The sequence below is a fragment of the Homo sapiens genome, chromosome 2 (genome assembly GCF_000001405.40).
Source record: "Homo sapiens chromosome 2, GRCh38.p14 Primary Assembly".
Classification (NCBI taxonomy): domain Eukaryota; kingdom Metazoa; phylum Chordata; class Mammalia; order Primates; family Hominidae; genus Homo; species Homo sapiens.
The window spans coordinates 205,335,546-205,350,333 of NC_000002.12; the positions used below are offsets into that span (position 1 = coordinate 205,335,546).

At 37.3% G+C, this 14,788-nt stretch overlaps 1 protein-coding gene across 17 annotated transcripts in view, besides 1 other annotated feature; it reads left to right on the plus strand.

Annotated features, from left to right (window-relative positions):
* PARD3B (par-3 family cell polarity regulator beta) overlaps positions 1 to 14,788 on the plus strand; it is a 1,074,688-nt gene that overhangs the window by 790,071 nt on the left and 269,829 nt on the right. The window contains exon 21 of one of the 17 annotated variants that reach the window (XM_011510553.3): positions 9,453 to 9,791. The exons of the other annotated variants lie outside the window; for them this stretch is intronic. Within the exon in view, the coding sequence (XP_011508855.1) occupies positions 9,453 to 9,561 (109 nt within the window). The 3' untranslated portion in view covers positions 9,562 to 9,791. Of the gene's footprint in view, positions 1 to 9,452; positions 9,792 to 14,788 lie in introns of those variants that run through there. 17 annotated transcript variants of the gene reach the window in all.
* Positions 11,069 to 11,602: an enhancer, noted in NCBI's record as "NANOG hESC enhancer chr2:206211338-206211871 (GRCh37/hg19 assembly coordinates)". NCBI's record gives its function as "activates a minimal SCP1, AML or CMV promoter by ChIP-STARR-seq in naive H9 embryonic stem cells {active_cell/tissue: H9 hESC(naive)}" and the evidence as "EXISTENCE:reporter gene assay evidence [ECO:0000049][PMID:30033119]".

Sequence of the window (14,788 nt, forward strand, 5' to 3'; positions counted from 1 at the left end):
TGTTCCAACATGTTGGATCATCTTGCAGAGCCACATAACACTGAGGTTTATAGAGTCCATTTTCATGCTGCTGATAAAGACATACACAAGACTGGGGAAAAAAAAAAAGAGGTTCGATGGACTTACAGTTCTACGTGGCTGGGGAGGCCTCACAATCATGGCAGAAGGCAAGGAGGAGCAAGTCACATCTTACATGGATGACAGGAGGCAAAAAGAGAGAGCTTGTGCAGGGAAACTCCTGTTTTTAAAACCATCAGATCTTGTGAGACTCATTCACTATCATGAGAACAGCACAGGTAAGACCCGCACAGGTAAGAACCATCAGATCTTGTGAGACTCATTCACTATCACGAGAACAGCACGGGTAAGAACAGCACAAGTAAGACTATAATTCAATCACCTCCCGCCAGTTCCTCCCATGACACATAGGAATTGTGATAGTTACAATTCAAGATGACATTTGGGTGGGGACACAGCCAAACTATATCAGTAGAGACAAGGTTTCACCATGTTGGCCAGGCTGGTCTCAAACTCCTGTCCTCAAGCGATCTACGCACCTCGGCCTCCCAAAGTGCTGGGATTACAGGTGTGAGCCACCGCATCCAGCCAACCCTTCTCTTTAATTAAGAATACTTCTCTAAGAACCAGCCTGAGTAATTTTGGGTAACTTCATATGAGTGAGAATATATGTGATATCAGGATTGTGATTATCATACCATTTGACCATGAGTTCCCTTTTCATCTGCAAGTCAAAGGATAGTTATTTCTAGGGCCTTTTTCCCTTAAAGACTGGAAAGTCTGTACTTAAAATGAGCAACTCCATTCCTGATTTTTACATTGGACTTAGAATCTCTGATCTTATTTCCCCAGGGGCAACATTTATGCGACTTGGCTTGAATTTCTTCCTCTTTCCTTCTCTTCATTTCTTCACTATGTCTGCCTTTAAATACCACTTAAGGTAATAACTTGTTGCACAGTTACCATTCTTTATTTCTTCTGCAAGAGATGGTCAGATCTTCTTTCTGGCTTCCACAGTCTGGTGAATTTGGGACACATTCATTTGTTCATGGCCCAAACATTTGCTAAGTGCCTATTATTTCCTGAGAAATGTTAGTTAATGAGCCCTATTCCTTGCTCTTAAGGAGTTTATTTTCTAATGGAAAAGGTAAACAAAAGCAGGTAATTATGTTACAGTGCACAGTAACCATTAAGAAGAGATGAACATGTGTGCAAGGACCCTAAATGCCTTAGCTGGGTGAAGAAAAATGGCCACTTTTAAGAACCAAGTTGCAAATGTAGGCCTAGGTGCAGGATTAAGACCATGTTCACTTTGCTTATTAGCCATATTGTCAGTATCTTAAGGAATACTTGTGGGGTTGGCTCTTTCCTTAGTGGAACATCTTTATTTCTTGTCTACTTTTTATTTCTTGTAAAAAAAAAAAAAAAGGTAATCTAACCTAACCTTTTCTAATGTAACCTAACAAGTGTTATTTTTTAAAAGTATTTTTAGGTTCTTTGTGACTACATTTTTGTCTTTCCCTAGACAGTGGCTTCCTAATTAGATAACCTGTATAGACAATTCCAAATTTAGCAGAAATTCAACCAAATACATGCTTCACAGTGCAAACACCAGCAACACCTTTCAGCAACACAGTTTGGTGAAGACATGCCTAGTTGAAAGATATTTTGTGACTTGAGGTTTATTTAAGCTAATAAGTAATAATAATTTTTGGAGCCTGAACAGATCCCCAGTTTTAGCATACTTACATCTTCTTTATGTCTCTATGTATTTTAAGTTTCTAAGTAACTGTTCATAGATGTATTTTGAACATGGTTTCCTAGATATTGTCTCAATTCCAATTCAATATTTATATCTGTTGGAAAGCACATGCACTGGAAAAATGTTTTGGCAACTGTTTTCATTGACTGTAAATCATTTATTAGATAGAGTGTTGTTAAAGTTGAAATGCCAAAGTTGATCTACCCTATGCTCTTTGACTTTTTGGTTGTTACAGATAAAAAGAGATTACTCTGCTGAGAGTACTAATTTTACTTAAAGGTCCTTTTGGTTTGCATATTAAATATGTCATTCAGTCTCTCCCAAGTTAAATAGAGTGTGCCCTACTGTTACTTTGAAGTTAAATGAAGTTATTTTCTGTTTTGGTGCATAAGTAAATATAATCATAACTTACTTTCTTTTTGTAAATGAGGTTAATAAGTGCTTGTGTCAAAAAATAGCCAGTTTATGACATTTTAGTTCATTTATTTTAGATATAATTACCAAATCAGTGTTCTACTTTTTTCTTCAAATAACAAAATGCTGGCCGGGCATGGTGGCTCATGCCTGTAAGCCCAGCAGTTTGGGAGGCCAAGGCGGGTGGATCACCAGGTCAAGAGTTCAAGACTAGCCTGGTCAAGGTGGTGAAACCCCGTCTCTACTTTTAGTTTTAATACAAAAATTAGCCGGGCATGGTGGCAGACACCTGTAATCCCAGCTACTCGGGAGGCTGAGGCAGAGAATTGCTTCAACTCAGGAGGCGAAGGTTGCAGTGAGCTGAGATTGCAACAGTGCTCTCCAGCCTGGGCAACAGAGTGAGACTCCATCTCAAAAAAAAAAAAAAAAAAAAAAAAAAGGCTTCATGAGGTGTTTTTGTCATCTGTGATGGGGAAAGATTGTAGCATCCAACCAAAGAGCTATAAAGAAGACAGTGTTGTACAGTTTATGTCTTGGTCTTAATTCTAAACTTCCCTTCCAATATGTGCTTATGGATGTTTTAACTCATTTTTCGTTTGTTTGTTTCCACTTTGTCATCTGTTCCCATTCTTTAATATTACTTTCATTTCCAGCTAAATTGTTAAACTCCAGTTACATGGAGAATATTACCATGGGAAAACATCATTTAATTTATATTCTATCTAGTTCTGGCAATAGCAGTAATACATAATGTAACTTCTCAGTGATTCTCATGTCATAATTTAACTAGCTTTGACTTTTACTGGGAGTAAGCACCCTACTCTGGAAAATCCATTTCATAATTTTGTGTCTCAATGCTATCATGTAGCTAATCAGTTAATTGTAATTACTTCTGCTTAATTCACAAGAATTCTGAAAGGATGTATAATAATAAAATATTTTATCATGGAATTTGTCTCTGATAAGGAAGTAACCATGAGAAAACCTATTCAAGTGGGAATATAATTCTATAAACCTAACTTCCAAGTAACCAGTCTTTGTTGAATTATAGTGAATTTCCAGATAGCTTTGTGTCTCAGAGGACATGGGTTGGAGTTCTATAGCTGAACCAGCATTATTTTAGGTATTACATGAGGAAGCAACCATAACAAATTGAACAGGTGGTCCTGGGAAAATAAGTCTGGAAAAAGTCCAGAGATTGGTGGGGGAAGGGGGATAAAATTTAACTAATGGTCCAATGAAATGTATACTACCCTGGATAGGCATATATCTCTGGTAGCCTCTATTAACATGTAAAATTTGTAAAATTCGCTTGAAGTTTACTGAATATCATTTTGTTTCAAGTTGTTTCACTGAAATAATCAAACTTGAAGCATCTCTTGATGTAATGATAACTCAAGTTTATATAGTATTTTTTTGTTTTGAATATCAGTTCATCATCTAAGAAATATCTTAAGTCAAATATTAGTCTATTTTACCACAAAGGAAAATAAAATTTTAATGATAGTAAAGTTATCAACACAAAATAAGAAGAAATAGATCAAATGCAGTGTTATTGTATCAAGATTTAAAAATATAAAACTGTGAATTAATTTTAAAAAGGAGAAGTTTAGTAGCTCAAATAGATTTACAAAAATAATTGACACAACTCAGGTAGTGATTGAGGTGGTTTGGCCTTCAGTGGTTTACTTCTATGCTACTAAAAGTGTGGTCTGTGGACTAGCACCTGAGAATTGGTAGAAATTATCTGAGAACCCACCTCAAGCTTACTGAATTAGAATTTGACAATTGGTTTTAACTAGTTTTTCAAATGGTCCACATGTAATTTAAAGTGTTGGAGGTATTGGCTTGGTTAAATGTAATGTTAATTTTAGTCAGTAGTGCAGCAACATGTCTGCTAAGAAAAATAAAGTAAGCATAGATGGAGTTCATAATCACATGGCATCCAGAGAGAGATAATTGGACTTCCTATCCTGCTGACTTTGTTCAGTTACGGGCGCTATAAGTTGTGCTTTAAGAACATGCAACAAGGACACCGACCGGGATGGTGACCAATTTTATATAGAGAATAACTGAAGAAACAAAACATTTGACCTGGAGAAGAGAAAACAGGAGAGCTATAATTGCTGTGTTCAAAGATTCCAAGGCCTGTCCCTTGGAAGACAGGGGAGAAGGAGGCAGAAGTAAAGCAATTAATATAGACAATAAACAGGAAAATGTATCTTTTTAAAATCTAAGATGAACTTTGAAACAATTATGTGTGTCCTAAAAGAGATCTTCCTTATTCTAAGTAGAGAGTTATATTGCTGAATATTTTTAAGTAGAGACTGAAAAACCACTACCTAGAATGAATCCCCCTGTTAAATGCTCTCTAAGCTCCTTGTCACAAGGTAACAATAGGAGTTGCATTGAATCTATAGATTGCTTTGGGTAGTATGGTCATTTTAACATTATTAATTCTGAAGATCTTATACAGTATTATTCTGTATAAAGGTATAAATGAAATAGAAAAATTCCTAAAATCTACGTAGAACCACAAAAGACCCTGAATAGTCAAAGCAATCCCAAGCAAAAAGAAAAAGCTGGAGGCATCACACTGCAACTTCAAAATAGACTACAAAGCTACCATAACCAAAGCAGCATGATATTAGTATAAAAACATACACATAGACCAATGGAACACAATAGAGAACCCAGAAATGAGTTCATATATTTACAGCCAACTGATTTTCAACAACGGCATCAATATACATTCAGGAAGGGACACCCTCTTTAATAAATGGTGTGGGAAAACTTGATATCTGTGTGCAGAAAAATGAAACCAGGCCCAAATCTCTCACCATATACAAAAATTAACTCAAAATGAATTAAAGACTTAAAGGTAAGATCCCAAACTATGCAACTACTTGAGGAAACCAGGGGAAACAGTTCAGAATATTGGTCTAGTCAAAGATTTTATGGCTAAGATATCAAAAGCACAGGCAGCAAAAACAAAAATAGACAAATGGGATTATAGTTTACTGAAAAGTTTCTGGACAGTAAAGGAAACAATCAACAGAGTGAAGAGGCCACTCCACTCTGGGTGAAAATATTTACAAACTGTTCATCCAACAAGAAACTAATATCCGGAACACCTAAGGAGGTCAAATAACTCAACAGCCGAAAAACAAATATCCAATTAAAATGTGCACAAATAAGCTAAACAGACATTTCTCAAAAGAAGGCCTACAAATGGCCAACAATTACATTAAAAAATGCTTGACATTACTAATCATCAGGGAAATACAAACCAAAACCACAGTGAGATTTCATCTTATCCGAGTTTGAATGGCTATGATCAAAAAAATAAAAAATAAAAAAATAAAAAATGCTAAAGAAAAGGGAACTCTTAGACACTGTTGGTGGGGATGTAAATTAGTAGAACCATTATGGGAAACAGTATAGTGGTTTAAAATCTATATTAAAATTAGGACTGCCATGCAATCCAACAATCCCACTACTGGGTATTTTTAAAGGAAAGGAGTCAGTATATCAAAGGGATACCTGCACCCGCATGTTTAATGCATCACTGTTCACAATAGCTAAGATATGGAATCAACCAAAATGTCCATTAACAGATGAGTAATTAAAGAAAATGTGGTATATATACACAATGGAATACTATTCAGCCATATAAAGAGTGAAATTCTGTCATTTGCAGCAACATGGATGAGCCTGGAGGACATTATGTTAAACAAAATAAGTCAGGCACAGAAAGATAAATACTGCATGTTCTTATGTATATGTAGAAGCTAAAAAAAATGTTTAAGCTCATGAAAGTAGAGACCAGAATTGTGGCTATTAGAGGCTGGGAAGCATGGGGGAAGGAGAGGGTAGGGAGAGGTTGGTTAACAGACTCAAAATCATAGCTTCCGACAGCACTGTTGGTTAAATGTGGTTAACTACAATTTATTGTATATTTTTCAAAAACCTAGAGGAGAGGATTTTGAATGTTCCCAACACGAAGAAATGATGCATGTTTGAAATGATGGATATGCTAATTACCCTGATTTTGTCATTATACATTATATGTGCATATTAAAATATCACTCTGTATTACTCCTAAATATGTACAATTATTACACATCAACTAAAAATAAAAGGAAAAATAGGTAAATAATATATAAAAGATACAGTAAAAATACAATATTATAATCTTATGGGACCACTGTCATATATGTATGTGGTCCCTAGTTAATCAAAACAGCATTGCATATGACTGTATTTCTCCAGTTTTAAAAATTACTCATTGTTCCATCTGGGCATGGAACTGTGTCTGTTTTATCCACTGTCTGTTGTATCCTCAGCCTCTAGCACAGTGTCTGACAGAAAATGTTTCTGTATGACTAAAGGGAGGAAGGAATAGATGGGAGGGAAGATTGAATTCATTAGTATATTCAATTAATATTTACTGATTGTCTTTGATATGCAGGCACTCTGATAGGCATTAGGAAGATGTAAGTGAACAAAACAGATTAATATCCCGTCTCTACAATTTAATTTTTCTGTGGATTAGTTTCAATAACCTATAAGTAGTTTATACAGAAGGAGAATGAAGAACAAGAATCAGATGTCTACTAGAGCAACACATCTTTAAAGAAGTAAACAGCTTCCAAATATCTCAGAGCAACCAGACCAACATGAAGTATGTTGAAGTTGACATAAAATAGAGATTTCATTTCTTTGTTTTAAAATTACCTTGAATATGAAGTTAAAACTCTTCATGTGTTATAGGCTGATGAAAAGCTTAGACAAATTACTAAAACTTTGGAGACTGCAAGACTCCAAATAGGAGCAACATGAGGTAGAGCAGCATATGCAGCTGTATGACCAGAGAATTTCTGAGAATTTACTCTGATTTCATTGTCAGTGTTTTATGTTGTGATTTCTTTGATTACATCATGGTATTATTAGTGATGTTTTAGTATTTAATATTAGAACTACTTTGACCTGAAAAACGTGTCCTAAAATACCTTATTTTACCTGAGTTACTGTGTTCTTTGAACCTTATTCCATCCAGGTGTCAACATTTTTTTCTCATCACCATGCATCTTTGATTTTATAATGTAAGTCAGTGAGAAAACAAGATTAATTTAACGGAAAATTGCTTTCCACAATCTTTTCTGGAATCTCTTTTGTCTGTTACCCAGGCAATATCTATATTATTACTTTGTCCTCAAAAGCTTTTACCAATTTGGCAACACAGAATGACTAAATCTCTTTTCCTTTATCTGGCTTTTCATTAGGAAGGAAACTCCCAAAATTCATTTCTATCAGCATTATCCTCAATGCTAAATCTTGTATGTCTCAAGTCTGTTTATAATAAATATCCTCATTATGACTAAGGTCGTCTTACTTCTCTGCATTACTTCAGTTTCTAATGAAAGCAATGCCCAAGTGACTAAGTGGATGAAGCCCCCGACTGTAGGAAAGTGTTCCCATCAAATATCTCCTAATTGCCCTCAATGAATCAGCTTCAGGCTCAGCCTTATCTCTGGCACCTTCCCCAGCTTTGTGTTGATAGCCAATAACATGTGCTCCGAGCATGAAGGAGATAAAAATGGTGTGACTCTTAGAAAGCCAGCCATAGAGTGGAGTTAGGGAGCTGTTTAGATTCTTGACTTCATGGTCCTGATGTGATTGATTTTCACCAATTTGCCTTCAGACATGCTTTGCTATCATTGCTTCAAACACGTAACTTCAGATCCTACAGGGAAACTTGTGCTCCTTCAATTGTTTCTGCTGCCTTACACATAGGTCCTGTGTTAAGACATCTTGTATTCATCAGCCTCCAATGGTAACTTTAGGCAAGTAACATAAGCACTTTCTCTGACCATCTGTAAAATTAAGTAGTAACTACAAAGCATCTGACACATTTCTTATAAAAGCACAGTCCAGTCACCCTGGCCTGGCTCACAGCTGTGGAGAACAGCGTGCTTGTGTCTGAGCCTCCTGACGTATGTTTTCTTTTCAGTCCCTCTGCCCCCTGCCTTCCTTACCACCACCCCCCACCCACAATATCTTCTCTTTCTCTCTTTAACTAGTTCTCCTCCACCCTCACCCCCTATGCCTGACCCTACTCCTCACACCTGCTTTGGCCCCATATAATACAGGATGTTTTAATATACTATGTACATGGAAGAAAACGGAAATTGAAGTTGCCAGCCATGAACTTTCTTTTCTTTTCTTCTCTTTTAAGTGGGGGAAGAGTATCGTCAACAGCAAGGAGGCTATTTTCTTAGTGACAGCAGAAAAGTGGTAGGGGGTTAGGGAAAGAACACTTAAGAAATTAGAGCTTCCAGCGGATACATGGTGTTTGATCTTTTAATGGTGTTGCTGCTGGGCCTGGTATATATTTTATCATGGGAGATGGTTAGAAATCTGAGCTTTGAAGGTGGGAAATGTGTCAGTTGGTTTGTGTGTGTGTGTGTGTGTGTGTGTGTGTGTGTTGTAACACAGAGTACGCCACAGAGACCAAAAGCCGTGGAACTGTTAAAAGACAGAGACATACAGGCATGTGGATATGGAGTGGATGAGGCACACAGACACATATTAAATGAGAACCTACTAGTGACACCCTGAAGAGAGAAATGAGGTAAACAGGCATGATACTGGAGGGAGAGGGATGATAGATCAGTGAAATGACTTCTATGCTTCAGCCTTCCAGTATCACACAGGCTGTGAGCAACTCACAGACTATCAACTTATGACATCAACTCCTTGGCATGACTTTGGACACAGAATTCATGCAGTCTCCACCTGTCCCAGGTAGTCCTTGATTTTGTGTGTCTGACTTCAACCCTTTTCTATGGGCATTCCCTAGAAATGCGGAACATACTCTTCAATACCTCAGCTAACAAATGAGCATTTCTGGTTCTCACCCAGGGGTACATACTGGGAGCCACCGGTTTTATTTCTGTACTGTCAGCCTTATGGTCTTTCCAGTAGAGTTTATGTATTTATTTGAAGCTTTTAGGGCATTTTGCCCTCACTTAAGCTAATTGGACTATATGTGAAATTGCGTGGGTATAGCGGGGGTAGAATGCCAAAGAACAGGCATAAAGAAAATGTTCTGAATTCTGGAAATATATTCTAAAAGCTCACGTCTGAAAGTTGGGTAACGAGGAATTTTATCTTTTAACTCTTCCTCCCCCTTCATAGCATTTAACTTTTGTTTGATTTTCACATTCAAAAAGAACAATTTTAATGTATTTTTCAGAACTACCAACAGGGCCAGCATAACCATGGAGCTGAAAACAGATGGTTTGGTTTTGCAAAGGAGAAAAAGTGATATCTTTTCCTCACCCATTTGCAAGGTTCATGGTTGAGATCCCTAAAGCAAAAGACAGATTAACAAGAGAAAAGCATACATTTAGTATACATTTTATGTGACACAGGAGCCTTCAGAAGTGAAGACCCAAAAAAAACAAGGAACCTTATGTACTTTTATGCTAAGTATGACGAAGTGGACAGCCTTGGGGAAATATGATTGGACAAAGAGGGTATGATCTAATGGTAATAAACTTGGGGGTACTTAGCAAGACCTCTTTGCTCAGATTCTTCTCTTTGTCCCTGTGTCTTCAGAAAAATGGATGTCTCTTTCTTCTGGGTATAGGAGATATCTCTCGAATGAGAATTTTATGACCTTCTTCAAAGAAAGGTCAGAAAAAACATTTATGTCCTGCTTAAGGAGGGTGGGAGGAGGTCAGAGAGACCTTCCTGCTTCTGCTGTTTACTCAAGGTGCCATATTTTGAGGTAGCATGTCCTGAACTCCATCAGTTGAATGTTTATATTTGAAGTTAGAACCTCCCCCAGTCCATGCTGCTAAGTTCACCCCCTTTCCCTATCTCCTCATGACCCTAGAGAATTTGAACAAAAAAGGGTCCAGTTTCAAAGACACTGAGCATAAGAGAAAGTGAAGCTGGACTGAAACCAGGGAATCAAATAAAAATCTACTCCCAGTATATTCTCTTCAGAAAATTATTCTCTGGAGAAACTGAATAGTTACAAGGGCACAGTGGCAATTATGATGCTTTACAAAAATACCATATATGTTTTGTACTTTTAGGAAAATGAAAACTGCACATTTGAAATAAAAAAAGAAGATGCAGCTGGGTGTGGTGGCTCACGCCTGTAATCCCAGCACTTTGGGAGGCCAAGGCAGGTGGATCACCTGAGGTCAGGAGTTCAAGACCAGCCTGGCCAACATAGTGAAACCCTGTCTCTACTAAAATACAAAAAATTAGCCGGGCGTGGTGGCGCACGCCTGTAGTCCCAGCTACTCGGGAGGCTGAGGCAGGGGAAATCTCTTGAACTCGGGAGGCGAAGGTTGCAGTGAGCCGAGATCCCGCCACTGCACTCCAGCCTGAACGACACAGTGAGACTCCGTCTCAAAATAAATAAATAAATAAATAAATAAATAAATAAATAAATAAATAAATTTCATATAAATGCAGATTCCTGGCTTCTCCTAGAAAAATTAGGCTGCCTGGCCCCCCTGGAGCCATATTCCATCTGACAATATGGCTTGCCCATTTAGCTGAAGCACCTGACCTCCAGCTTGTCATAGTCTCTACCTTGCCTCCTTGCCTCCCCACAGCTGAGGCTCAGGTGTTATTTAGTATTGTGATTATTCAGTTATCTTACTTGTTTCAGGGTTGAGGAAAAAAGGAAATAATTTTATGCCTACATCAAAATTGGGACAATCAAAGAGGTTCCAAGAGGGCTTCATGCTTCCCCTGGCTTACTGTGCTAAGGTACCTTCCAGGCTTCTATGGGATTTAAGTTTTCTACCTAAAATTCCTGATGATATAGTACAAGCTTTCGTTAGCTCTGTTATGAGCACAAAGACCATCCTTCATATGGTCACCTTTTTATAAGAAGCTTATAAACTTTGTCACCCTGCAGCTATTCCTTCTCCAGATTACTGTCTCCAAAGACTTCATTTTTCATTTATGTGATCACACCCATGTACTCTTGATCTTTGCCACATTTTTCCTGTCTCCACACAGTCAGGGCCTGATCAATAAGGAATGACTATGTGTTGATGACTTCACAGCTCTCACCCATTATCCTTCAGTTCATGCATATGGGTGTCTTGTCTCCTTTTTAAATAGCGCCATTATCCTAATGGCTAATGCTCGGTGGGTGGCCTTCTGTAACTCTTGTATATTTTTCTACCATGGCTGAACACAGTGAGTACATTTCCATCTTGTGTTTATGCACTTGGGTTTTCTTTTGTAAGCACATTGCCTTCCACTTATTTCCATTAAATTTCATATTCCTTATTCAAAAACACTTCTCCAAATTGGTCAAAGTAGGTTTTAATTTTCCCACTGCTGCCAAAGGTGCTGGTTACCTCTCTTCAAATTGTTGTAGTTATCACACTTTATAATGATACTGTTTTATCATTCAAATCATTGGTTCAGAAATGAAATTATATAGAGTCTATGGCCGACCTCTGTAGAACACTGGTAAGGGGTCCAACTCAAGATGATCAGTGATCCATTGAAAATGGTGGTTGTCTTCTTTAAAAAATAAAAATAAAAATAAAAACTTTGAGTAAAATAACCCCTTAAAATTAAGTAGTTATTTGCCTGAATTAAGTATAACCTGTAACTTATTGTTAAGTAAACATGGTTAAGCTAACCTTTATATGAATACCCAGGCTGTAAAAATTTATGCTATTTGGTAGTCTTGGAAATACAAATTCCAAATAGCCTGAAATAAGAAGCTACAATATAATGGGAGGCCAGTAGTTAAAAAATACTGCCACAGTAGAAGGGGTGAAGTGGATCAGGAAGAATCCTAGGATACTTTACTTAGAACCCTTTGTACAAACAGCATGAAAGTAATGAGATTAATGAAAGATTTTTTTGTCAAATTTAGAAGAATCTGAGAAACAAACTGCAAGTTTTCCATTTCATTTGATGTCTTGGCAAACCTACTGATATGTGTGTTATTTGTCTCTGTCTTCTTAATATTTGCTACCTTGCCGGTTGCCTGGTGATTTAGGAAGACGTGGGGAGTATTTGTAAACAAAGGAAGCTTTTCAGAAGTGGGTAACAGTAGCCAGAGTTTGCTGGTTGGATCTTCCAGGAAGCAGGAGCTGAGAAATAGGAGTGCAAAAGTTTTGTTGAGGGGCATACCTGGGGAAGATAAAAAAGGGAGGAAGCAGGATTAGGCAGAGAGCCCTCAATCACAGGGCAAATCTGCTGAGTCTTGGCCAGCTCAACAGGAGCTCCCGACCAAAGATCCCCTGTTCTAGGAGCTCAACACTGGGCAGAAAACAGCCAGGTCCTATTGCACCCACTGTGCTCAATCATGACCGAGAGCTGCCTCAGAAGAGTGTGGACTCAAGTCAGAAGCTGAGGAGGATCCTAAAGGCAGTAAGTAAGTAATAGCTACAGGCTGTGAGCTCTATTTGCATTCCTCACAGCTGAATGCCAAGTTCTTTCTTGAAGGAAAAGTACAAGCAATATATCTTCATCACTTGTGCTTAGAACATTTTCCTTATTACTGAACAACAATTAGAGATGATCTTGACATTCTCCTCTCCGTATTCTCAATGTTTCAGCAACATGTGCAAAATCCATTCTTCTATACCAAAGTCACACACTCACGGAAGAGATGAAGCTCTCAATACCTGAAGTAATTCCCAAGTGTTGGTGAAGGAGTAAGACAAAAACATGCAGGATTAGAATGGGCAGGAGAGAGAGCAGATGGGTTAGGAAAGAGAATCACTGAACATTGACCCTAACTAAATATGAAAAGGAAATGGCAGGTAGGTGATCAAAGAATCAGGTGGGCAAGAGTTACCTAAAATATCGGTTTCCCATTCACTGCACAAAATGATGGCATTTGCCCCTTTGGAAATGGTTAGCTCTTAGAACTCTGGAAATAATAGAGTAGGTTGGGAATTTTATTCCTCCAGAATAATGTCTGGTTTTGAAAAACATGCATGCTCTTTAATTCTCATAATACTGAATCTTGCCTTTGAATTCTGTCATTTAAGTGATAAACTAAAGCAGTTAGATAAGGGAGATTTTTATTGTACACTGGAATAGATACAAAATAGTGGAAAGTAAAGGATAATAATAATAATAAAAGTCTTAGATGGTGCTACAAGGTGACTTGAATTTTGAGAAATCAAATCAACTCAAAGAGGAAAATTCAGGTAAGATAAAAAATATGTATGGTGATAGAGTGTAATCTTAGCATTGATATTGTATATGTACTGGCTCATTACCCACTGCATCAAAGATCATAATGTGTTTATTATATCATTTACCAAATGATAGCCATTTCCTGAACAACTGGCCTCTCCTGCACATCCTTGTGTGATGTCCTTTATTAATAAATGATGCCTGTACTTTGGGGCAGAAAGATAGAAAAAGATATCTGAAAAGGGTCTACAGGAAATAAGAGAGAAATTGGTAATCTCCTTAGCTTTTCTCTTTTGCACTGTTACATTGGCTGATTGTCTGGGGCATGCAAAATGTATCATAGGTACTACAACTAAATCTTCAAGGTAAAACCCAGAAAAAGTGAGAAAGAGACCCAAACCACCATTTTATATGTAATCTCACTTGGTGTTTGTTTATCCTGCCTCTCCAAGCTCTCCTGGCATGAGATAGGTCTGCCATGGTCAGATAGTAAGTAGCATCCAATTTGTTGTTTCTTACTTCATCAATAATTTTTTTCAAAATAAACTGTGGAAAGAAATCCACTTCCTAGCATGATGCAAACATCACTACAACACAGGGTTTCTTAAACTAAATTTAAAAAATAAAAAAGGAAGTAGTGGTTATTAATTATTTATTTGCATTTAAGAACTTCTTCCATAAGCATTTTCCAGAGATAAAAATCAAAGATATAATTAAACTTCAGAATGAAAGCTGAGGTTTAATTAATGAGTAGGTAACACTCAGTTACCTAACATCTTCCTAGTAATAAAATATAATATTAGGAAGGAAATATGTTAGCCAAAAAAGGAAGGAAATGTATCTTTTTCTTTTTCTCTTTTTTTTTTTTTTTTTTTTAAAAAAAGAGGAAGCAAAAGGAGGAGAGTGATATTGTGTTTCAGGGCATTTAATTTGAATATATCACTTGATAGAGTGCAGACTTCCCTGAGTTCTATAACCTGTAGTGTAAACACACAATAAACAGGCACCAAAACGCACCCAAGCCAACACCAAGCAGCCAGTGGGTTTTGGCTGACATAAGGCCTCTGGTTTGTGGGGTTCATCTGGCTCCCCTTCAGCTCTATCCCAACATATGAATGTTTCTTTAGTTAGATCAGTAGTCTTTATATGCCTCTGTTATATCAGAAAGACCTGGGTTTCTGGAGCAGCTTATAAAGATTGGGGTTTAGGTTAAAAGCACATCACAGGCAAACATGTGTTGAACATTATTCTGTGTGTGGAGACTTTGAAGAGCCTCTCAGGTATATGTAGGATTTGGTATTATGAGGAGATGAATTGGATTCAAGGTACTCAATCTTATTGCCAATCTTTTTCAATAAGAAACCATCTCCTTGGTTTGCACATCTGTGT